The sequence below is a fragment of the Homo sapiens genome, chromosome 14 (assembly GCF_000001405.40).
Source record: "Homo sapiens chromosome 14, GRCh38.p14 Primary Assembly".
NCBI lineage: Eukaryota > Metazoa > Chordata > Mammalia > Primates > Hominidae > Homo > Homo sapiens.
Genome location: NC_000014.9, coordinates 71,896,187 through 71,919,757, shown reverse-complemented (window position 1 = coordinate 71,919,757; position 23,571 = coordinate 71,896,187). Strand labels below are relative to the sequence as shown.

The following is a 23,571-nucleotide window of genomic DNA, read 5'->3' as shown; positions in this document are numbered from 1 at the left end:
CCTCCCAAAGTGCCAGGCTTACAGGTGTGAGCCACCGCGCCCAGCTTAAAAAATTATTTCTAATGTGTGTTATGCTAACTAACAAATCCTCTGGTGTTGATTAGAGATATAGTTGAAGCTGCATATATTAACCTTCTCCCACCCCCAGCACACACATGTGCAGGCTTTAGAGAGGAGTGTCTATGGACGTTCAGACTACTCCTGGAATAGGCATTCCTGGCTAGGAAATTTCAAATATTAACTTCCTATTTATCTGTCCATTAGACTTAACATACACATCACACACACACACACACACCCTATATCTTGTTGACATACAGGTTAAAATACAGCTTTCTCATCCCCAGAGGAGATGTGCTAAGTCAGAAATGCCGTCACTGGGAGCTAAATATCAGTGCTCTAACTAGCTTTATGGGTAACTAAGGTCATCCTCAGACACCCTAGAGTTAGAGGAAGGCTGTTGTAAAGAATAAGAGTAGGGGGACCTGCCCTCACCCCCACGGGCACTTACTGTGGAAAACTATGCACAAGCCAAAGGGAGAACCAGCCTCTGCTCTTCTCCCCCTCTGAGGCTGAGTCCTTACCAGAAGCCGTGGGGAAGCTGGGAGCTGTGGATGACAAAATTGACTCCTTATTTGGAGTTTCCGGAGCCCCTGTGGGCACATGAGCACAAAGGAAGAAAGCTCTTTTCTCTTTTCTGTTTACCCAAGCACTGGGGTAGATCATATATGGTTTTGTTGGGAGCATCACTTTCTTGGGAAAAAAAAAAGGAAAAATTTTCTCTAACCATAAAGAAGAGTTTGTACTATCAGGTGTGTTTCAAACAGAACTTTATCATTGTAACTCAACACCCTGCTTACCATATATATTTGCTTTTCTTTTTAATGTATATCTTAGAAGGCAGTAAAATAATATTATCCGTAAAAAATAGAACAATTGACTAAAATGAAGATTGAAAACTAATCCCAAAGGAAATTGTTAGGGGGTTAAACTTCAGGACGATAGATTGTTTAACAGACTTGCATACCAGGGATGAAGACTATTTCACGTAATGGAAAAAGATCAAGATTTAAGAAAATATACACATATAAATATTTATGCTGAGAAAGTAGGAGAGCTTTGTTAAACTACTGTATCAACTCAAATGGAAACACAAAGTTATTTTGCTGTAAACTACATCTCTGTTTGCATCTCTTTCCTCTCAATTAATGAAGTAAACAATTTCAGTAGTAAAATTTCAATCCCAATAAACTACGCATTTTCATTCTCTTTGAGGGGTCTCTAAAACTAAACAAAATTAAGAGAAGGAATCCACTGGATAATCTTTTCACAGAATCAGGCTTTAGCAACTGATTTAATGTAGCAAGTGAAACCAAGCCTGTAAATGGTGAATGCAGCCTTTAATTTCACTATGATGGTTAACTATGAGAAGTGTTTTTTAAATGAGATAAACTCAAGCTGAAAAATCTAAGAACCACCATTTTAAAAACATACAGTTCGAGAGTTCCTCCAAGTTGGCCTTATACTTGAGAAGCTTTTTTTTTTTTTTTTTTTTTTTTTTTTTTTTTTTTTTGAGACTGGAGTCTTGCTCTGTCACCCAGCAGGCTGGAGTGCAGTGGCACGATCTCGGCTCACTGCAAGCTCCGCCCCCCGGGTTCACGCCATTCTCCTGCCTCAGCCTCCCGAGTAGCTGGGACTACAGGCGCCCGCCACCACGCCCGGCTAATTTTTTATTTTTTTGTATTTTCAGTAGAGACGGGGTTTCGCCGTGTTAGCCAGGATGGTCTCGATCTCCTGACCTCGTGATGCGCCCGTCTCGGCCTCCCAAAGCGGTGGGATTACAGGCGTGAGCCACCGCGCCCGGCCGAGAAGCTTAAATTGACAGGAAAACCCCACCGCTAAGAAGTCCTAGCTGGTAACATTTGCAGTTAGTCTCTGCTACTTATTTTACAGATAAGAAAATAGGCCCAGGGAGAATCATTAAATGATCAGGGACACACTACCGAAAGATGACCCCTGGAACAGAACTCACATCTCCCAGTTCCAGCCCTGTGTTCTTCCTAATGAGACTTTTCAAAGTTTTTGCTATTGTTTGACTTGTGTTGTTTTTTTCAGCTAAAAAGCAGTCAAGACTGACATGATGACAGAGGGAGCAGGTGGGCCACACGCAGGGCTGCAGCCTAAGCTGTGACTTCTACCAACCCTGAGAGCTCCCAAGGTCGCGGGTAGACAAACCAGGTGCTTCCCATCTCCCCAAACCTCCTGTTGCTTGACATCAGAGAAGTCTGATTAATTCGTGCTCTGATTACTTAGGCTTTATTTGTAAATAGTTGTGGTAAAAACCTTTTCCCTACCCAACTGCTTTATGTATACTTTTAACAGCAGCAGCAGCAGAAAAGGGTGTGTGACCTCCACCAGGCAGCCTCTGTGATGAGGTCTGTCATGTGTACCATGCGATCCCAACATAGGTCTGGGGAGCTCTGATATGGTGACCCATATACCGTCACCCCACATCTCCATACTATCACAGCTGGCAGGACAGTCCAGTGAGTTAAAAGAAGTATCTAAGATCATTGCCAATACTAAAGGTGGTCCTAATACCAGAAGCATGTGGTAATTAACTCTATAGACTATTTTAAAATCCATGACCCAGGATCTTAAAGCAGCCTGACCCATGAGTGCAGTCCCAAAGTGATGACCTGTGGCATCCTGTTTCTGAATCTCATGGATCCCTGACCCTGGCTTGCTCACCACCTATTTTCAGCCATTCTCTTGCCTGGCTAGGGAATTCTATTTCCTTAATTTAACCCTGTGTACACTCTAAGGTTTTCATATGGTCCTCACCTAGGAATCAGCTGGGCAGCTCCTTGAAATTCATATCCCAGGCCATGCATCCAGGGATCCTGATGCAGTGACTTTGGCATGTGTTCTGGGAATCTGCATTTTAACAAACCCCACTGGTCCTTTACCCTTTGCCCTACAATGCTGACCCCGACACGGACCAGCTCCTCACTAAGCCACCAGGTACCTTCATGGGCCACCCTGCCAAGTTTACCCCGGGGGTGCTTGCCCTAATTGCCTGATCCTCTCAGAGACCTCATGCCTCAGTGGTGCCATCTCTGAATGGGGTCGGGCTCGGCGTCTGGAGAATTCCTAAAGCATTATAGTCTCCCAGGCCTGCAGATCCACACTGCAAATTCATGCTTGAAATCAGGCTAATTTTCTTTTCAATCCTCAAAGCACAGAGGATTCATTTCCCTCCCTTTCTTGGTCAAAAAAACGTATTTCCCTTGAAGAACCTGGATTTATAAAGCACAGAGACCTATTTACCAAAATTTCTTGAGGGCATCTTCTTCCTCAGCCTGTAAACACAAAGCATAAGCCATTTCATCAGTGGGGGCCTTTAGATTGCTGCTAGTGAAAACTTAATCAACATTAAAGAGATTTCGTGGCCCGAGTAGCTGGAAGGTCCAGCCAGGTCCAGGCCCAGTTTGATTCAGCTCTTTCCATCTACTTTTTTGTTTTGTTTTCAATCTATTTTGCCTTCCAAGTCATAAGCAGCACCCAGCTCCACATCTACAAACCACAAAAGCAGAGGGGACATGTCTGCTACAGCAGCTAAAAGAATCCTGATTAGACCATTTTGGTCACATGCTGGGCTAGTCTGCTAGGACTGCCATGAGAAAATACAACAGACTGTGTGGTTTAAATAACACTTATTTCTTACAGTTCTGGAGGGTGGAGGTCCAAGATCAAGGGCAGGTTGGTTTCTCTTGAGGCTTCTCTCCTTGGCTTGCAGACGGCCACATTCTTGCTGTGCCTTCCCGTGGTCTGTCCTCTGCGTGTGAGCATCCCTGGTGTTTCTCTGTGTCCACATTTCCTCTGCTTATAAGGACACCAGTCAAAGTGGATTAAGGCCCATCCTAACAACGTCATTCTAACTTAATTCCCTCTTTAAAGGCCCTCTCTCCAAACACAGTCACATTCTGAGGTACTAGGGGTTCAAGCTTCAATTTATGAATTTGCAGGGAGCACGGGAGACCCAAAATTCAGCCCATAACACAAACCTACACTGAACCAATCACTTCAGCACAAATGAACATGCTGATTGACTTAAACAATCCTATCCTGAAGCTAGGGGTGGGAGGAGAGTCTCCCATAACTGACATAGGCTATACAAAGTGGAGTGGACACTAGGCCCTACTGGGTCCTGCTGGGATGGAGGGAGGGATGAATGGGATGCTGGGTAGTCATACAACAATGGCCAGAATTGCTATTGCAGCCTCGAAATCCACCCAGGGAACTCACAGGCATCTCTCTGACTACAAGCAGCAGAAACAAGACACAAAATTCGTCTGCTACACAGGAAGACAGGTGAAGGAGCTGTGGGGGATAATGGAAAGGGTGGGGCTCCCATCAAATGGGGAAAGGTTTACCTGACAGACAACTTTCTGTTCTCTACTTACTCTCCTCCAAGTTGAACTTTTTCTTTTTTTTTTTTGACAAGGAGTCTCACTCTGTCGCCCAGGTTGGAGTGCAGCGGCACGATCTCGCCTCACTGCAACCTCTGCCTCCCGGTTCAAGCGATTCTCCTGCCTCAGCCTCCTGAGTAGCTGGGACTACAGGCACACGCCACCATGCCCGGCTAATTTTTTTTTTTTTTGTTATGTTTACTAGACACGGGGTTTCACCATGTTGGCCAGGCTTGTCTCAAACTCCTGACCTCAAGTGATCTGTCTGCCTCGGCCTCCCAAAGTGCTGGGATTACAAGTGTGAGCCACCACCCCGAGTTGAATCTTGAAGTCTTCTCCAGATGAACGTCACATCTGTTCATCACATTCATTTCTTATGTCACTCTGTATCAATTTAAAAATCTACAGATATCTACTCTTAAGGGAGTGGTGCCTGTTTTCTTTGTGAGCACAAAAATAAGCTCAAGCAGAAGAACAAATAGAAGTAAAGCATTTTTAGGTACAAAAACAATAGTGTGCATGTCTATATTTTTGTCCCGTAAAGAAGTTGGTACCACAGTGTTTTTTTAAAAAACACTACTTGTACATTGGGGGTCGGGGGAGGAATGTTGCCAGCCTGGGCAACAAGAGTGAAACTCCGTACCCAAAATAAAAGGGGCCTGATTCTTTTACAGGAAACCGACTGGTAAATCATGAATTACTGGTAAATGAAATACTCATCAGCAAGGAGGGACCCGAATGAGTTAAGACTTAAAGGCAAGCTGGAGATGAGAAAGAATTAAGATCCGTTAGTTCTTAAAGAGATTCTGGGTAGAAAACAAGCTCACCAGGGTCCATGAAAAATCTCTAGGAAAAGGAAAGATAAGAAAAGTGAAACTTGGAGTTGGTCATTGGTGTAGGTTCCCCAAATTTATTCTACTCCAAATGTAGCCCAGGACAACCAAAGCAACCTCATTTCCACTGCCAGAGATTGATTTTTCAGGAGCAAACAAGAAATGAACCATGGCCAAAAAAGTTTTCCTCACTTCTCTAAAGAAATACAGGAATAGAAAATGCCTCTTCTTCCACTGGACATCGTCTTGTTAGGGTATGATGCCTACAACTTAGCAGTCAGCTGGCCCAAGGACAAAACCCACCTCCAGGGAGAGAGGACCAGGAGAGTCTCAGAGAAGCAAAGCCAGGGCGCACGGCACATGTAATGCCCAAAGCCTGCCCTAACACTGTGCTTCCTGTGATCACGTAATAAACTTCCCTGTACTGGGCCAGTTGGAGTCAGGATCTTGAATTCCTTGCAGCAGAAAGCTTCCTAACAGTTCCACTGGATTTTGATGACCATGAGTTCTAACAGTTAAGTTCTAGCAGGTAAATTAGATAATCCACTTTAATTACCAATTAGGAAGCTTTTGGCTGCAAATTGCAGAATACATGACTAAAAGCCTTTTAAACAATAAGGATATTTATTTGTCTTGCTTAACAAGAAGCAGGGAGGAAAGTGCTTCTAGGCTCTGTATCCAATTAGACTCCAAATCTGTGATCCTCAGATGACCAAAGAGCAGGAAGAGAGGTGTGGAGTTTCTTCTTGCATGTGTCTCCTTTTGTCAGCAATAAAAAATTGTTCCAAGTTCCTCAGCTCACTTCCTTCGTAAGTCTCATCGGCCAGAACAGAGTGGGTTGCATGTCCATCCTCTCTTCAAGCAAGTACATGGCCTTTCCAGCCTCTCTCATGGAGCTGGCTCTGCCAGGCAGGAGGATGTGGGAGGCGAATGACTACTGGACATGAGAGCCAGTTCCCTTAGCCAAATCCCCAGCCCACTTTCCTCTGTTAACCTAAGACCGTGAGAGCCACAGAGGAAGGAAAGGAGAAAACTTTATTTTCAGAAGGAGAAACAATCCGCAGACTGGGGAGTGCAGCTTCCAGGGAAGATGGAAAGTACAGACTCTGCAGAAGGGAGGGAGAAGCTAGTACATATGCCTTGCAGGGCCAGCCTTACACATATTGAGCAAGTTTAGGGGATATCTATGGATGTTCATGAGGGAAGTCAGATGCATATGTAGTGGGTAAATGTATATGTAACATACATTCAATGTTCACTTCAGGGTGGGGTTTTAGCATTAAAATGAAGTGAAATCTGGCTCTTTATGTAAAAAAGTGAACTGTAGGCCAGGCGCGGTGGCTCACGCCTGTAATCCCAGCACTTTGGGAGGCCGAGACAGGTGGATCATGAGGTCAGGGTATCGAAACCATCCTGGCTAACACAGTGAAACCCCCTCTCTACTAAAAACATACAAAAAATTAGCCGGGTGTGGTGGTGGGCACCTGTAGTCCCAGCTACCCGGGAGGCTGAGGCAGGAGAATGGCATGAACCCGGGAGTCAGAGCTTGCAGTGAGCCGAGATCATGCCTCTGCACTCCAGCCTGGGTGACAGAGCAAGACTCCAGTCTCAAAAAATAAAAAAAAAATAAAAAAGTGAACTGTAGAACCAGAGACAGTTTGTGTGCAGTCTCTATAAGCTGACCCAAAGTGGCTTGGGATCTGCAGCTATTTATCAGGAAAGAATGTTTAGAAGACTGGTCCTCTGTCCAGTTGGAGTGGTGGGACCACAAGGCTGAGAAAGGGGTGAGAGTGTTGGTCAACTGGTACCAGGTGGTCTATCTGGGTCATTTGGGAAATTTCCCGGTTGTAGTTGTTTCAGCAATACTTTTCAGTAGACCTGAGCTCCATCATATATACTCAGCCATCAGCCATCCTCCCCAGCTCCCTTCCTCCTTCTTCAGTTTTGGGGTTTTCCTTCCATCTTGACTCTCCCCACCCTAGTGACACTATAACACTCTTCATTTGTAAGTAATAAGATTCTACAGCAAATTGTGAACACGATGGTCACCAAAAATAGATCCTTTAGTGTGAGAAATAAAAATAAAATCCTAAGCCCAACCAATTGAACAGGCCCCCTCTTGGTCAAAAGGACCCCTGACAAACCTTAAAAATTGAGTTCCCAGCCAGGACAGGACAGGACATTGGATATGCCCCATTATATACTTCGCCCTTGCTAATCACGATTAGACTCTTTCCTCAGAGTTCAGCAAAAACCAGCCCTTTTGAAAGTCTTGCCAGACTTCCTTCTCTCGTTGCCACTTTGACATAACACCTACCAGCATTTCTTTCTAATAAGAGACTAACATAAGAGACCACTGGTCATGGACTGGTTCTGGCAGGTTTACAGAGGCTGCTTACGGGATGCTTTGTGTCTTCCATTTCATCTTTTGATGGATAGAACCTAATTTTAATGCGTTTAGATGTTAAGTCTCCACCCCAAAGTGAATATGGGACGTAAGCAACATGCATGGTTGCCTTCTACACATGCATGCCCCCTTCATGAATATTCATAGCTCCTCCTATAATCTGTTGAATATATATGCTTAGCCGACCTGTTCAGCATTAATTCCTGTCTCACCCTTCTCTTCCTCCAGTGCCTGCTTTCGGTTTCCACCAGAGGCCATGCTTCCCAGCCTGTGGGATGGCCAGCCAGCAGGCTGCATTCCTTTATAAGAAATAAAGCTCTTCACTCCAAATTTATGAACCTCATGATTCTTCAGTTGACAAGTAGAGTCTTTGGTCTGGATGGTAATGCTGCTGAGTGGATGTTAAACACTAGCACAGATTAATCAGTACCCCAGGCTCACCTTTCCCTCAGTTCTAATGGCAATTAATCTCAAAGACCTGCATCTGAATTCACTGGTGTTAGGATTTGCCTAAGCCTACGGTAGGATAATTAGTCTACCCTGTTCACGCAAGGATGAGGTGCCTGTGTAATATTTCTGACATATTTCTCCGTATTTCAAACCCTGCTCATTTTCCCTATGAAAAACAGAATACTTGTGTGACCCAGTGGGAATCCCAATTTTGACTAAAAATGGATGTCTTGCCCATCCTGGCAAATGGGAATGAAGAAGTAATTTAATAAGGTTTAGAAAAAATAAAGAAGTGTGATGGTTCTTGAATCGAGGTGTTGAGTAGCAAACTGTTACCCTCTAGTCCCGTAGGAATTAAGCCATTGTGGTCAGAAGACAGGCAGTGATATTGGCCATTTTGCAGCGAGATCTCCACCTGATGCTGTCACAATGCAAATAAGGCACATACTCTGCCTATTAATAAGTTAAATGTACTGTTGACTTTGCTTTTTACACCTTCACTTCCCTGTAAACATAAATATTTACATTTGTGAGGACATTTACAAAGCACTTTCACAGATCTCTATGAGATCAGAAATCAAGCCAAGAAAGGCAATAATATACCTTATGGAAAAAAGGACAAGACTCAGAGAGGGAAGTCAAATAAAATCATACCAACAGAGCTGGGAAAAAAACTCAGGTGTCATTGATCCACACCCTGTCACTGTCCACGCAGACCTCAAGGAATTTAGTTCCAAAGGGATCTCATGTTTTCCCAAATTGCATCCTTCCTCTTGAGTTTCCACTCTGAGAATAGCACCATTACCCCATCACCCAAGCTGGAAATTTGGGCATCTTCCTAAACATCCCACACTCTCTCATTCCTCACCACCCACGAAGTCACCTCCTTCTTGATACCTCTCAAATCTGCCCCTCTCTCTTTACCCAATGCTGCTGTCCTCACCATTTCTCATTTGAACACTTGCTGGGGGAAAAACGTAATTTCTCCTCAACCCTCATAAGTTCGTAGTAGGGGCAGACCCCTGAAACAAAAAATAAGCAAGTTTATTAATGTGTGTAATGCACAGCAATGCCAGAGAAACTTCAATGAAAGGTGACTCAAAGCAGTGACTTAGAACACTGGCTTATGTAGTACCTTAAACAAAAAACAATAAATCTGTAGAGAAATGACAGGACAAAGAGAAGCAGTCTTAGGCTTTCAAAGGTAGGAAACTATGGGAAGGTAAACAGATGAAAATTAACTAACAGAGCAAGGCTCGTTTGTAGATTTCTTTCCTGGAGCTGTCTCCAGTAAAGGAGAATTTATATTCTGTCTTTGGGAAGCAAAGGGGAAGCACAGAGAGAGCTCTTCTCTGCTTGCTGTTTTTTTGTTTTGTTTTGTTTTGTTTTGTTTTTGTTTTTGTTTTAAGACAGAGTCTCGCTCTGTTGCCTAGGCTGGAGTGCAGCGGCACAATCTTGGCTCACTGCAAACTCTGCCTCCTGGGTTCAAGCAATTGTCCTGCCTCAGCCTCCCAAGTAGCTGGGATTCCAGGCGCGTGCCACCACACCTGGCTAATTATTTTTGTATTTTAGTAGAGATAGTGTTTCATCATGTTGCCCAGGCTGGTCTCAAACTCCTGAGCTCAGGCAATCTGCCCACCTCGGCCTCCCAAAGTGGGAGCATTACAGGCATGAGCCACCGCACCTGGTCTGCTTGCTGTTTTTTAATTGCCTTTAGCTCAAATACACTTATGTCAAAGAGGCTCATTTTGGGGTGACATATTCTGGTTTTCTTCACCATTATAAAAGTGTTTTAACCGGTCTCCCTTGCCTGTAGTTTGGGATCCCCTCCCAACCCAATTATCCTCTCCCCAGTGCCTGAGTGAGCTTTCGGAGTGCAGCTCTGAACACAGCACTCCTTTGCTTAAAAGTCTTCAATAGCTCCTTCTTGAATAGAGACTGGAGTCCCATCTTAATCTCTCTCTCTCTTTCCCCCCTCTCTCTCCTTTCTCTCCTCTGTCTCTCTCTTTCCCTCTCTCTATGTCCTTATTTCTCTCTCTCTCTCCCTCTCTGTCTCTCCCTCTTTTTCTCTCCCCACACCCTCTGTCCTTATTTCTCTCTCTCTCTCTCTCTCTGTGCAGGTGTATGTGTTTCTGTCTCTGTCTGTCTCTCACACATACACACATAGAGCAAACTGTATATTACACCTCTACTAAATTGCATCCAGTTTTCTGAACATAGCAAATACTTTCATAACTCTGTTGCCCGAAGAGAGGGTCCCGATACAGACCCCAAGAGCAGGTTCTTGGATCTCATGCAGAAAAGAATTCAAGGCAAGTCACAGAGCACAGTAAAAGAATTGAGTTTATTGGAAACTACTCTATTACAGAGTAGGGCGTCCTCAGAAAACAGAAGGAGGAACACGCCATCCTTTCTTAGTGACTCTACTTACTAGAAACTGTAAGGGGCTAGATTTAGACTTGGAACATGCAGATGTGCTCTTTAAAGGTAGAGGCTATTGGTGTTATAGATGACCATTAATCCTTCAACCTAAGCCCACTCATTAACAGTAATTAACTCGTTAACACTCATTAACACTTTACTTAAGTAAAGTGAGCTGTATTCTTAGGACATCTGGACATTCTGCAGACTTGGTGGGAGATGTTCTGTATGGCCATAAATATTCTGTAATTATAATTGATGGTCAGCTTAGAATGTGGTTATTTTCAGACCATAAATATTAACCTTATAAGTGCCTTGTGAGTGCCTCGCTACTCACTTCAAGATGGAATCATTCAGGTCATGTTTTATTAAGCCAGAGGCGTGGTAGGCAGGGGTTCCTCTAACATGTTTATTCTCCCTAGAAGGGCATTCCCTCCTATGCTGCCCATTTACCCAACTAATCCTTGCGTATAAGTCAAGACTCAGCTCCAAGGGTACATCCCTAGGAAGCTTTGCCTGATTCTCCAATAGAATTGACACTACCCCTCCTGTGGCCTCATTGTGCCCTGAACATCAGTAATAGTAATAAATCAGACACTGACTGTTCTATACACTTTCAACTTACTGAATATAAAAAAGTTTTGTTGTTATTAAATGAAAGTATTACAAAATAATTTTATCTTCAAAGAACCACTTGAGAGCAGAAAGTCAGGTAGAAAAGAAAGAAGAGGAAATCCTACCTACAGCATGTTTCTTCCAAAGCAGCCGGTCCCTATTTCTCCTGCTTCAAAACAATGGAAAACTCCCACATTGGAAACTCTCGCTAGACGGCATTCTGAAATGATCAGTCATTCCGTGCTGTCCTTGCTGTTCCGCTTCATCACACTTGAAGCTTTGCCGGCTGGGATTTTTGCTGCCTTGGCAAACATGATGATGGTGTCAAACCTAATGTTTCCTAAATTTTTGCAGAAATGCACAGAAGACTTCCATGGGAGCCTATTGTCAATTATCTGGAAAAAGAGAAGTTTGCAGACATTAGAAGCAAGAACTGTGTGAGGATCGGCTCTGGGTTTTAATGAGAAGGATTCAAATTAGAATGTCGGCTATTTCCTATAGTTTGCTAAAAATAACCTGGGTGCCTGCTTCCTTCACTTGTGCTTCATTTTCAGTGCCTGCTCATCCTGAAGATTCAGAAGAGATGGAAAATGTTCCTTAGGATCCAGTACCCGTGCTATTTGTTCAGATAAATGTGATTTAGCTTTGATCTGCTCTCCTGTGCACCAATGGGTATGCTACCTTTAGGCTCCTGTCAGATATACACTAGAGGAAGCTTCCAGGTGATAAGGCGAACACAAACATCAATCCCTGTTGATTTCACCTCTTAAATCTCCTCCCATCACTGCCACCAACTTGTCCCAAGCTGCCATCATTTCTTGCATGGGCCACTGCAAAACCCTCCTGCCTGCTCTTCCCACCTTGAATCTGCCTTTCCCACCCCGGCCCTCATACTGTAACTAAGAACAATCTCCCCACATAAATCTGAACATATCCCCCCACCACCACTGATCAATGGCTCCCCATTTCTTTTATGATAAAGACTAAAATCCTTAACATGGTCTACAAGCAAGGACCTCCCTGACCTGTGCCCGAGACCCTCTCCAGCCCTGCCTCTCCACTTTCTACAGCCTTGCCCCTCTCCCCTTGGTTCTTCCTACTCCAACCCATGGTCCTTACACCAGTGACTTCTTCCTTCTACGCCCCAGCCCCACAGGGCCTCAGCTCATGTTCCGTCTTCCCCTCTTTTATCTACCTAATTCTTACTCATCATTCAGATCTCAATCCAGTAATCACTTTTTCAGGAAAGCAATCCTGACCCTGCAGACAAAGTCAAATTCTCTCCCATATTGGCTCTCCTAGCCCAAAAGCCTCTCCTTTGCAGCACTTATCTCTGCTGCAATTGCAGATTTATTTAATGATTAACTGATTAATAGAATTACCCCTCTGGACCGTAGCCTCATGAGGGCAGGAACCACATCTGCTTCATCATCATTGTATCCTCCACATCCAATACCATGTCTGGCACATATGGGATGTTCAATATTTGTTGAAGAAAATAGAATTAATCTCCTGGTTTGGTGTGAACCCAAGCCTCCCTTTTCTTACAGAGGTCCTTCCCAAGAGAAAGGAAAATATTTCCACATCTAAGTACAGCATTTTCTCTACCTCAGTCTAGGCCCCGTGAATGTCCTTGTTTCCCATCCCTTACTGTTCTTGCCTTAGTCATTTTGGTGGGAAATACCTGTATATAATAAATTGGGAGAGTTTTTCCCTGAATCTCCCTGAAATGTGGGGAATACATTAGTATTATGCTTTTCAGCATAAACTGATCTGACCTCTGCCTGATCTTTGGAGACACGAGTGCCTAAATTAACTCCATATTGCTTCTCAATTTCTTGACTCAAATGGAAGACCTTGTATATACCCTTCCTCATTAAGTTAAATGACATATATTTTAACATTTCAGTCCAGATGAAGTCTTGGGCACTCTCCTGTATCATGGAGGAGATTTAGGGAAGGAAGGGCAAGGGGAGAATGAATGGTGTCAAGGGAAGAGACTCAAAGGTTTTTGTGTGAAGCTTTAAGAATCAGTCTGAGGAAGAGGAAGGGCAGAGTGAGACCAGCAACGGGCCCTCCTAGGCAAAGGGAGGTTGGTTAAGGAAAGCTAAGAGAGAGGGTGAGCTGTGACACTTCCTCACCCAGTCTGCCCCGTTCCCCTGACCTAAAGTAGATCAGACCAGTCCTTTGGTTTGGGGTAAGGTGGATCTGGAGCCAGGAGGTGAACAGAGCCCCCAACTGTGCAGACAGCACCCTGCCCACCTTTTCTAGAGGGACAGCATTCAGCAGCTGGTGCTTTGGAAATCCAGCCCAGCCTGTGTTGAGAGAGTTATTATTGGCACATTCCTGAATTTTATCGGGTGTTTTAAAACAGCAATTACTGCGAGGATACGCAGAGATCTATAAACACTGGGAAATGTATTTATCTCCTTGCTCTGTGACAGCTGGGCCAGCTTCCACATGCCAAATGTTTTGCGGCAGGGTCAGATCGAGACTTCAGATGGTTGCCAGCAGGGAGCTACTATTTTGGGGGCACAGGTCATGGGAAAGTCTTATAGCTCAAAGTTGGCTTCTGTGCCTATCCCATAACTTTTCCTTCGGCCTCGTGTATCACAATTATCAACAAGCCTGTCAAATTTGAGGAAATCCTTTGATATCTTTGTTTAAAGACCCAGATGTGGTGCTGCCACACAAGCCTACAAGATAAATGGGCTCATCTTACAGAAAGGGGTAGGCAGCTTCAAGCCTCTCCTGCCTTTCACAGAAACAGAGGCCAGACACAGTAGCTCATGCCTGTATCCTAGCACTTTGGGAGGCCAAGGCAGGCAGACTCCCTGAGCTCAGGAGTTCGAGACCAGCCTGGGCAACATGGTGAAACCCTGTCTCTACTAAAAATACAAAAATTATCCGGTCAGCGTGGCATGTGCCTGTAATCCCAGCTACTCAGGAGGCTGAGGCACAGAATTGCTTGAACCCAGGAGGTGGAGGTTGCAGTGAGCCCAGATTGCGCCACTGCACTCCAGCCTGAGTGACAGAGTGAGACTCTGTCTCAAAAAAAAAGAGAAAAGAAACAGAGAGAAGAAGGAAAATGTTTAAATATCTTGCAATGTTCTGTTTAAGTATACATTTTCAGTTTCTGAATTGGGCTTTTAGTAATTCTATGTCCCTTTCAAAAACTATAGCTGCAAAAAAAGACAAAACAACATGCAATGCACTTACTTGGAAAATTTAAGTTCAGATTTTCAAAGGGCAAAGAGCTGAGGTTTAAGGTCGTTCATCTGGGAAATTTTTTCCAGCTAAGTGAATGAATGGGAAAGCTAAGGGTCACGTGACCAATGAGAAGTCCGTGTAGCTCTCTTTATTGTTTCTCATTCATCTGCTGTCCATGGATGGAAAAAGAAACTGATCAAGGGCAGAGAGTGACTTCAGGTCTCTTGAGGAACAGCAGAAAGCAATCCCAGATGAGGATCTAGTGCTAGGACTCTGATTTTCAAATTTTCGTGCATAACAGAACCAGCTAAGAGTGTTATTAAAATGCAGACTGTCAGACCCTTGTGGTATGTGGCCCAGGAATCGGCACTTTCTATGAGCATTTCATGTGATTTCAAAGTTGCCTGAGGAAAAACTATGCTAGGAAAGTTAAATCACAGTAGAAAAAAAAAAGATAATGGAGTCCAGTATGCACTATCGTTGTTAAAAGCCCAGGGGTAAAAGCCAAATATCAGGAAAAGCCAAATATCAGGAAAAGTATAAATTCAAGAAATATTCGGGTTATTAGAAGGTTGAGTTCCATGCAAACATTAGACAAGACCAAGGTAAGCTTAGCAGTCATCAGAAATAACTGCAAAGTAGTAAATGAGGCACCAAATTTTGGTTGCAAAGTGAGAGAAAACCCAACTCTGACTTATGCAAAAATTATCAAGAATCTCTTGGCCCATGGAAATGGAAAGTATAGCAGTAGAGCTGGTCTCCATGGAACTCAGAGGCCCAAACAACATCATTTAAACTCAATCTATCTTTGCTTCTTAAGTGTTATATTTCCTCTGTATTAGTTCTTTTTCCACAGGCTCTCCCCTTGTGGGGAAGGTATCTTTCTGAAGTTCCACTTTTTCCTATTTGATTCCAAGTCTGTAGAAAAGAGAACTCCCCTTTCCTGATTATTCTAGGGGGAAGAAAAAAGCCAGGGCTACCTCTAATTGGAGTAACTTGGGTCTCAGGACCACTTCTAAATCAATCCCTGTGTCAGGGGTGAAAATACAGTTTTGCTGAGATCTGTATCTTCTTCCCACCCTTAGATTTTGGGGGAGGGAGGAGGCAAAGGGAAAACCAAACTCCATTTATTCAAAGCACAGTGGGGAAGGGGAGATGTTTTCCTGAGAAAAAAATCAGGATGCTCTTCCCAGAAAAAGAGGAAATAGACGCTGGATAGCAGAAGCCACAATTGTCCACTACGATGGCTGACAATTATTCTTCTTGTGCATTTAATTATACAAAAATGTTTCTATCAGTTAGTATTCACTTGTTTTAATAAGCATGGGGTTCTATATTTACATATAGATATGATATTATTGAAATGTCCTGTTTTGTTGTTCGTATTCCCCAGTGGATTATAACCCCCAAGAGGGCAGAGACTGTGTTTATCTCGTTTATTCATGTGTAAACAGGTAGTCTCCAAAGTGGGATGTCCAAAAGAAGGTACTTGGAGACAACAGTAGAATTTCTATTTCCTTTTCTTACCTAATTTTTCTAAGGACAAATGAAAGCTTTATTTTAAGATTTAGTATATGATATATGCATTGGCAATGACAGTCTCACTATATTTAGAAGTCATACCATCATGCTAATGGTAATAAGGCTCCCAAGAGAAGCATGCATGTGAACTCTATTCCTCCTCGAATTTGTTGCTCCAGCTCCAGGCCTCCCACCCTCTACTCTGTCTCTTCGTCCCACTCAGTCCCATTCAGGCTCGTTACCTCAAGGTATGACTGTCTGACTAACCCCAGGACCTCTCTCTCAAGAACCACCCTCATTCAAGTGGGAAACCCACCTTCTTTCTGAACCCAGCAAACTGGATATGAGACACTAGCAGTAAAATCTGTTAATTCCCATGACCTTTATCCAGAGCCTCACTAATAAGGAACCCAACCTTTCAAAATGTGGGTTGAAGAACAGGCTGACCTCAATAGTTAGCCAAGTAGGATTTATCAAACACTTACCATGTGCAGAGTACTGTGCCAGGAAGAGGGAGATGAGATTCATAAGGGAAGAGCCTTGTTCTCAAGGACCTCAACCGGTTAGGAAAAGAGGTCATGTAACTAGACAGATGGCTGCCACATAGAAAGGAGGATAAGAATTACACATGCTTCCTTCAAAAGGCATTCTCCTCTGTAGTTTTAAAGGGAGCACTGCCTTTACTCCCCACAGACAGGACCAACTCTTCCTAAATCCCAGGTTCCTGGAGTTCTTTTCAACACAATGTTGGGCTTAACCCTGCCATACCTAAGCCAATGTCATTATCTCTTCTGTAGATAGAAACAAAGGGGCTTGGATATGTACCTGGTTTATCCAATGAGTCAGGAAACCATCCAACAAAAACTAAAGAGTAAAGATTTGATCCCAGGTTTAGAAACCGGACACATCACCTGCCCTGTGCTCATTCCAATAATGTAAACAGACTGGCTCCATTATTTGTTCATCTACGATGGTTGCAGGCAATGTTGCCAATGCCCATTTTTATGTTTCATTAAGATTTCAATTCATCTCTTCCTCATTTAGTCTCGGTGAAGGATCGATATGCCTCTAAATAAATACCACACAATCTTTCAAATAAGTTTATGTTTTTATTTATTTTGTTATAACATGGCCCAGAAGCAACTTCTATTCTTCTTTCTATTTCTCTAACTATATCCATTTTGCCAAAAGTTGTAGTTCTCGGAGTTTTCCTCTTGACTGTCTCTAAGAAAGGAAATTTTTTCTCTATGAATCTTACGTTTCCAAACAGACACCTCTCTGAGAAACAGACTTTAAAAGAAAACTATTATATGTGAGCATTCAGACTTTTTAAACCTGTACTGATGAAATATAAAATGTCCCAAGAGACACTCAAAGGCCCCTTTGATGTACCAAAGGCTTTACAAGGCTTGCTACCCATGGTACCCGAGGCTCAAAAAAGGTTTTGCTTTTTCTTTAAGCCTAATGAGATTTGACATCATTCAAGTGACTATGGAAATAGTGAGTTACCAAAATAATCTTTGTTAATTTTTTTGTGTACAAAGTGAGTGGGGCAACTCATGTTTTCCCAGATTATCATGTCTCATAGCTGAATCGCTTATATTTTTTTAAATGCAAGTAACAGAAAACTCAACTGTAAATGACTTAAACAATAAAGGGATTTAATCTGCCATAGATCAAGAGTTCTGAAGCAGGTTGGTTTTCAGTTGATCAACAAAGTCATCAAAAACCAGGTTCTTTCTCCAGGTTTTTTCTCCTCAGAATGTTGACTCTTAATCTCAGGCTTGACACATTATTGTAGAAAGATGGCTGCAACCTCAAGCATCACATCTTTACAAAGGCTAGAAGACAGAATATTCCATCCTTATTTGCCTGATAAAAGAAGTTTTATTTTTCAGAAGTCCTGCAAAAGGTTTTCTTCACATTTTATTGGCCAGAATTTTATCATACACCTGTTTCTAAACCAATCATTGGCATGGAAATTGGAATTAATCAAGATGTAATCCTCTAAAGCACCCAATGACCAACAAGTATACAAAATTAGATTTCTATTAGCAAGGAGACATGGCTATCATATAAGAAATAAACAGTCTCTGTGGTCAAGACCAACCCAAAAACAGGGAGATGGGAGTGGGAACAGGGATTGACCAAAGGAAACAGCTTTGAAGGAGTCAAATAACTCTCACCTTATGACTGGCCTGGGATGTCAACGGGGAGCCATTCATTTGGCATCTGAACTGAGTATATTGTCTCTAAAAAAGCTTAGTTAATTAGTTAGTCAATATATTAATTGGGAAGAAGAAAGACCAATAGGTAGCCATGTCCACTGACATGTGGGCAAGGATTTATTGATCAAATTAACTATAAGACACATTGGAAAATAACAACATGAATAATTGTGTTAGACATTTATTATATACCTGCCATGTACCAGCATTGTATAAAATGCTTATGTTATAGGAATGAAAACTGAAGCTAAGAGAAACCAAGTAATTGCCAATATTCACACAACTGGTTTGTGGTAGAACCAAGACTTGAATTCAAGGAAGTCTGACTCTAAAGTTCATATTCTTGATATAGATAGTTAATCCCTGAATTTATTTGGGAAACTCATCAGTTTAGAAACCTATGGACCATAGAATCGGCTCAAATAACTTTCTTCAGTTTTACTCACTTTGAGAAAGATATATTATGCATTTGATATGATTTGGATGTTCATCCTCTCCAAGTCTCATGTTGAAATGTGATTCCCATTGTTGGAGGTGGAGCCTGGTGGAAGGTGATTGGATCATGGGGGCGGATCCCTCATGAATGGCTTAGCACTATCCCCTTGGTGATAAGTGAGTTCTTGCTCAGTTAGTTCACACATGATCTGGTTGTTAAGAGTCTAGGATCTCTCCTTTCCTCTCTTGCTTGCTCCTGCTCACACCATATGACAGGTCGGCTCACCCTTTGCCTTCTGCCATGACTGTAAGCTTCCTGAGGCCCTCACCAGAAGCAGATGCCAGCACCATACTTCCTGTACAGCCTGTAGAACCATGAACAAACTAAACCTCTTTTCTATTTAAATTACCCAGTCTCAGGTATTCCTTTATAGCAATAAAAAAACAGCCTAACACAGCATCTAATAAGGCACAGTTCTGTGTGCTATCCTTGTTATGGAGGAAGTGAAGGAACCAAAGATTCGTAAGATATAGTCTTTGCCCTCATTAAACTTTCAGTTTTCTAACATAGACAAATACACCAAGAGTAGTCATAGTTTTAGTTTCAAGATAACAGAATAAGTACACAGGGAATGACAGTCATTCCCTGCTCTGAAGTAGTAAAATTACAGAAGAATATTTTTAAATGAATATATGGCCACATACAAAAACAAGATGAATTGATTTCACGGACCCGAAAATGAGAGGAATCTGGGAGACCAAAAGCCAGTAGGTCAGATAGAACAGGAAAATGGCATCTCAAGACATGTGCAAGTAGCTCATGGCCAAATATAACTGATAAAAAAGCGGTAATTATACAAAATGTGCTCCACATTCAGAAGTGGTAGCAGCCAGGAGCCTGAGGTAGCCAGAAAACTAGGAAACCCTGAAGCCTAGAAGAGCAGCCAGTGAGGTACCCTACTGAACTGTACATTCTGCCCATATCTGACTCTCTTTTAAAGCAGAGTAGGGACAAACTTCAAAGATGCTTCTCTCCTTTTCCCAAATGGAATGTGTAAGCAGAGGCAGCAAACAATCTAGCAAGGAATATCAACCGTAAAGATGTCCTCAAAAGAAAGGTCATAAACTCCGCTACAGAGGAGTCATATGCCTGAAGAAATAGTTAACAGGACACCAGAAAAGTGATTTAAGTTGAGTTAATGTCCTCTGAGATATAAGAGAGGAGACTGCATCCTTAAAACAAGAACAGATGGTTGTAAAACAAGAACAGGAAAAGAATCAGTCACAGATTTTTGGACATAAATACAACTGTTAAACTTAAAATCTCACTAGATAGGCTGATTAGCAGAATGGGCAAAACTGTAAGGTGACCAATGAGAGTTAAAGACTGGAGTTTGGTAATAGCGGGGCTAAATAACTATAGAAGTTCCAGATTCTACATTCTACATCCAGAAGAGAAAATCTTGTATTCCAGAATTCTTAGTAAGTCTCAAGTTACCAGCTGATTAGATCACCTGTGAATCAATTCTTGTGGCTAAAGGAATAGCACATATTGATTGGTTTAGGCCTGGGTTACTTGAACCAATCACTTCAGCAAGGCAAAATGAAATTACCTGGATTTGTTTATGCCACACAGGACCTATCCCTAAAACTGAGGGGTTGAGTGTACCGTACCTAAACAACATACTTGTTACTCATTGTGGTAGAGGTAAAGTCAATACTGGGGAGACAACCACATGTCCTCAACAATGTTTTGCTGAAGTAGGAAAGTGGGGGAAATTTGCAAAAGAGATTCAGTTTACAGAAATATTTGCTGAAATTGGTGGAACCCTGCTAATAATACAGGGAAGAGAAAGTAGCTCTAATGAAGAATTTTCGTGGCAAAGGCTACACAGCAAGCGGCAAATACAAGCTAGTTCTTGAACAGTGGAATTATGGGTGGGTTTTATATTTTGGTGTTGATTTTGCTTACCTGTATTTCTTATTTTTTCTATAGTCAACCTGTGTGGTTTTTAAATATTTTTAAAGATCACTTTTAAAAAAATCAGGGGAAGGGGAAGATGCGCTTTTTTGATTACTATTTGGAAAGCCAGCCTATAGGATATCACCAGCCTATTGGTTTTTCCCACACCAGCATCACTTAGAAAACTGGATTTAAAAAACAATATTGGAGTTATTCTTAGCTTTAGGAGAGAGTTCATCACAGCATTAATGCTTTGAATGCATTTTAAATATATTCTAACTTATAAAAGTGTACCTACAATAAAGAAAATGTGGCACATATACACCATGGGTTACTATGCAGCCACAAAAAAGAATTGAGTTCATGTCCCTTGCGGGGACATGGGTGAAGCTGGAAACCATCATCCTCAGCAAACTAACACAGGAACAGAAAACCAAATACTGCATGTTCTCACTAAGTGGGAGTTGAACAATGAGAACCCAGGGACACAGGGAAGGGAACATCACACACCGGGGCCTGTCGGGGGGGTGGGAGGAAAAGGAGGGAGAGCATTAGGCCAAATACCTAACGCATGCGGGGCTTAAAACCTGGATGATGGGTTGATGGGTGCAGCAAACCACCATAGCACATGTATACCTATGTAACAAACCTGCACGTTCTGCACATGTATCCCAGAACTTAAAGCAAAATAATAAAAAAAAGTGTACCTACATATTTTAGGAACATCTCTATTGTACATAGCCACATGATAATTCCATTGGACTTCCTGTCCTACAGATGCTAAAGGCTTCAACTAGGCTGTATATATTTCTACCAGATTTCACTAAACACCAGGACCAACAAACAATTAAAAGTAATTTCAGTAAACCCTCAAAAAGAGTAAGATGGTGGTTGGGGTGAGGGGAGGGTTGGAGGAGAAGTCAGGGATAGGGAGAGGTTAGTCAAACGGCATTAAATTTCAGTTAGACTGAATGAGTAAGTTCTGGAGATTTACTGTAAAGCATGGTGACTGTAGTTAATAACAATATATTGTATGCTTGAAAATTGCTGAGAGTAGATCTTAAATGTTCTCACCACAATAAAAGTATGTGAGGTGACTGACATGTTAATTAGCTTGATTTTATCATTTTCACAATGTATACATATAGCAAAAATCACTTTGTACCCAAAACAAACAACCAAAAAAAAAAAGGAAATAAAAAAGAAAAACAGGCTTGTCCAGTGAAAATTAAAATAAAAAATAAAGCCTCAAAGGATAAAGCCTTTATATTGTACTCTAAGCTCCTGGGTGTTCCTTCAAGAAAAAAAAAAAATGTTTAAGTGAGCATTGAACATTTGAAAGGAGTCCTCCCTTGCTGTAAACATTCTTTTACAAAATCCATGGGGCCGGGCGCGGTGGCTCACGCCTGTAATCCCAGCACTTTGGGAGGCTGAGGCAGGTGGATCATGAGGTCAAGAGATCGAGACCATCTTGGCTAAGATGGTGAAACCCCATCGCTACTAAAAATATAAAAATTAGCTGGGCGTGGTGGTGGGCGCCTGTAATCCCAGCTACTCAGGAGGCTAAGGCAGGAAAATCACTTGAACCCAGGAGGTGGAGGTTGTGGTGAGCTGAGGTCGTGCCACTGCACTCCAGCCTGGGTGACAGAGCAAGACTCCATCTCAAAATAAATAAATAAAATAAAATAAAATAAAAAATAAATCTAACAATGGGTAATGAGACCATGAGACCAGCAGCAGGTGTCACTCTATCTCCCAACTGTCTTCATGTTCCTAGCCCTCCACAGCACTTGGCAGCATATCTGATTTAAACTTTAATAAGTAGGGAAGTAAATATAATCCCAATACTACAGAGGAGGAAATCAAAGCTTGGAGAGATTAAGCAATTTGCTAAGGCCACATGTCTTTGCTAGAGCCAAGATTTAAATCTAATTTCTCCTTATTCTGGAACCCATACTCTCCCCACTTCACCAATGCTGCCTTGCTGGCAGATAGCCAGAATATTTATTCATTGATTCAATAAACAATTATCTACCACCTACTATGTGCCTAGCACTATGCTAGGCAGTGTAGAGACATATCTCTTGGACTTTGTGGATTATACCCCCTAGGTAGAGTGACAGGGAGACAATAAGCCAACCTACAAACTAATAAATATGCAATTATGAATGGCAGTAAGTGCAACAAGGGAGAAGAACAGGTGCTGAGTAGAGAGATGGTAGCAAGCTTACCTAAGCCAATCTAACCCTACACAGGTGTGAGGAATCAAGAAGATAGCCTCTTTCTGATAGCTGCCACTACTTACAGGTAGATGAAGCAATAAGCCTCCTACCCAATGGTAACTCATAAAATAGCAAGGTCAGACCAATTTCCGCTACACATACTGAGAAAGAAAGTTATCCCTAATCAGTGGAATTTTGTGGTCTGATTTGATTAGCTGCTCCTTTGGAGAGTAACCTCTCAGTATTACCATTCCTGATGAATTGCATAAGCTACTTTCTGGTAGACTTCAATGAGTTCAAGAGTCCTTTTGTCAGAGGCATTTGTCAGAGCAACTCCATCTTGAATAGGGGCTGGGTAAAATGAGGCTGAGACCTACTGGGCTGCATTCCCAGACAGCTAAGGCATTCTAAGTCACCGGATGAGATAGAAGGTTGGCACAAGATACAAGTCATAAAGACCTTGCTGATAAAACAGCCTGTGGTAAAGAAGCTGGCCGAAACCCACCAAAACCAAGATGGTGACGAGAGTGACTTCGGGTCATCCTCACTGCTACACTCCCACCAGCGCCATGACAGATTACAAATGCCATGGCAACATCAGGAAGTTACCCTTTATGGTCTTAAAAGGGGGAGGCATGAATAATCCACCCCTTATTTAGCATATAATCAAGAAATAACCATAAAAATGGGCAACCAGCAGCCCTCGGGGCTGCTCTGTCTATGGAGTAGCCATTCTTTTATTCCTTTACTTTCCTGATAAACTTGCCTTCACTTTACTCTGTGGAGTTGACCTG

At 42.4% G+C, this 23,571-nt stretch overlaps 1 protein-coding gene across 1 annotated transcript in view; it reads right to left on the bottom strand.

Annotated features, from left to right (window-relative positions):
- Positions 1-23,571, bottom strand: part of RGS6 (regulator of G protein signaling 6) — a 762,695-nt gene that overhangs the window by 710,272 nt on the left and 28,852 nt on the right. The window contains exon 3 of the mRNA XM_024449761.2: positions 11,324-11,593. The gene's annotated coding sequence lies outside the window, so the exon portion shown is untranslated. The remainder of the gene's footprint in view (positions 1-11,323; positions 11,594-23,571) is intronic.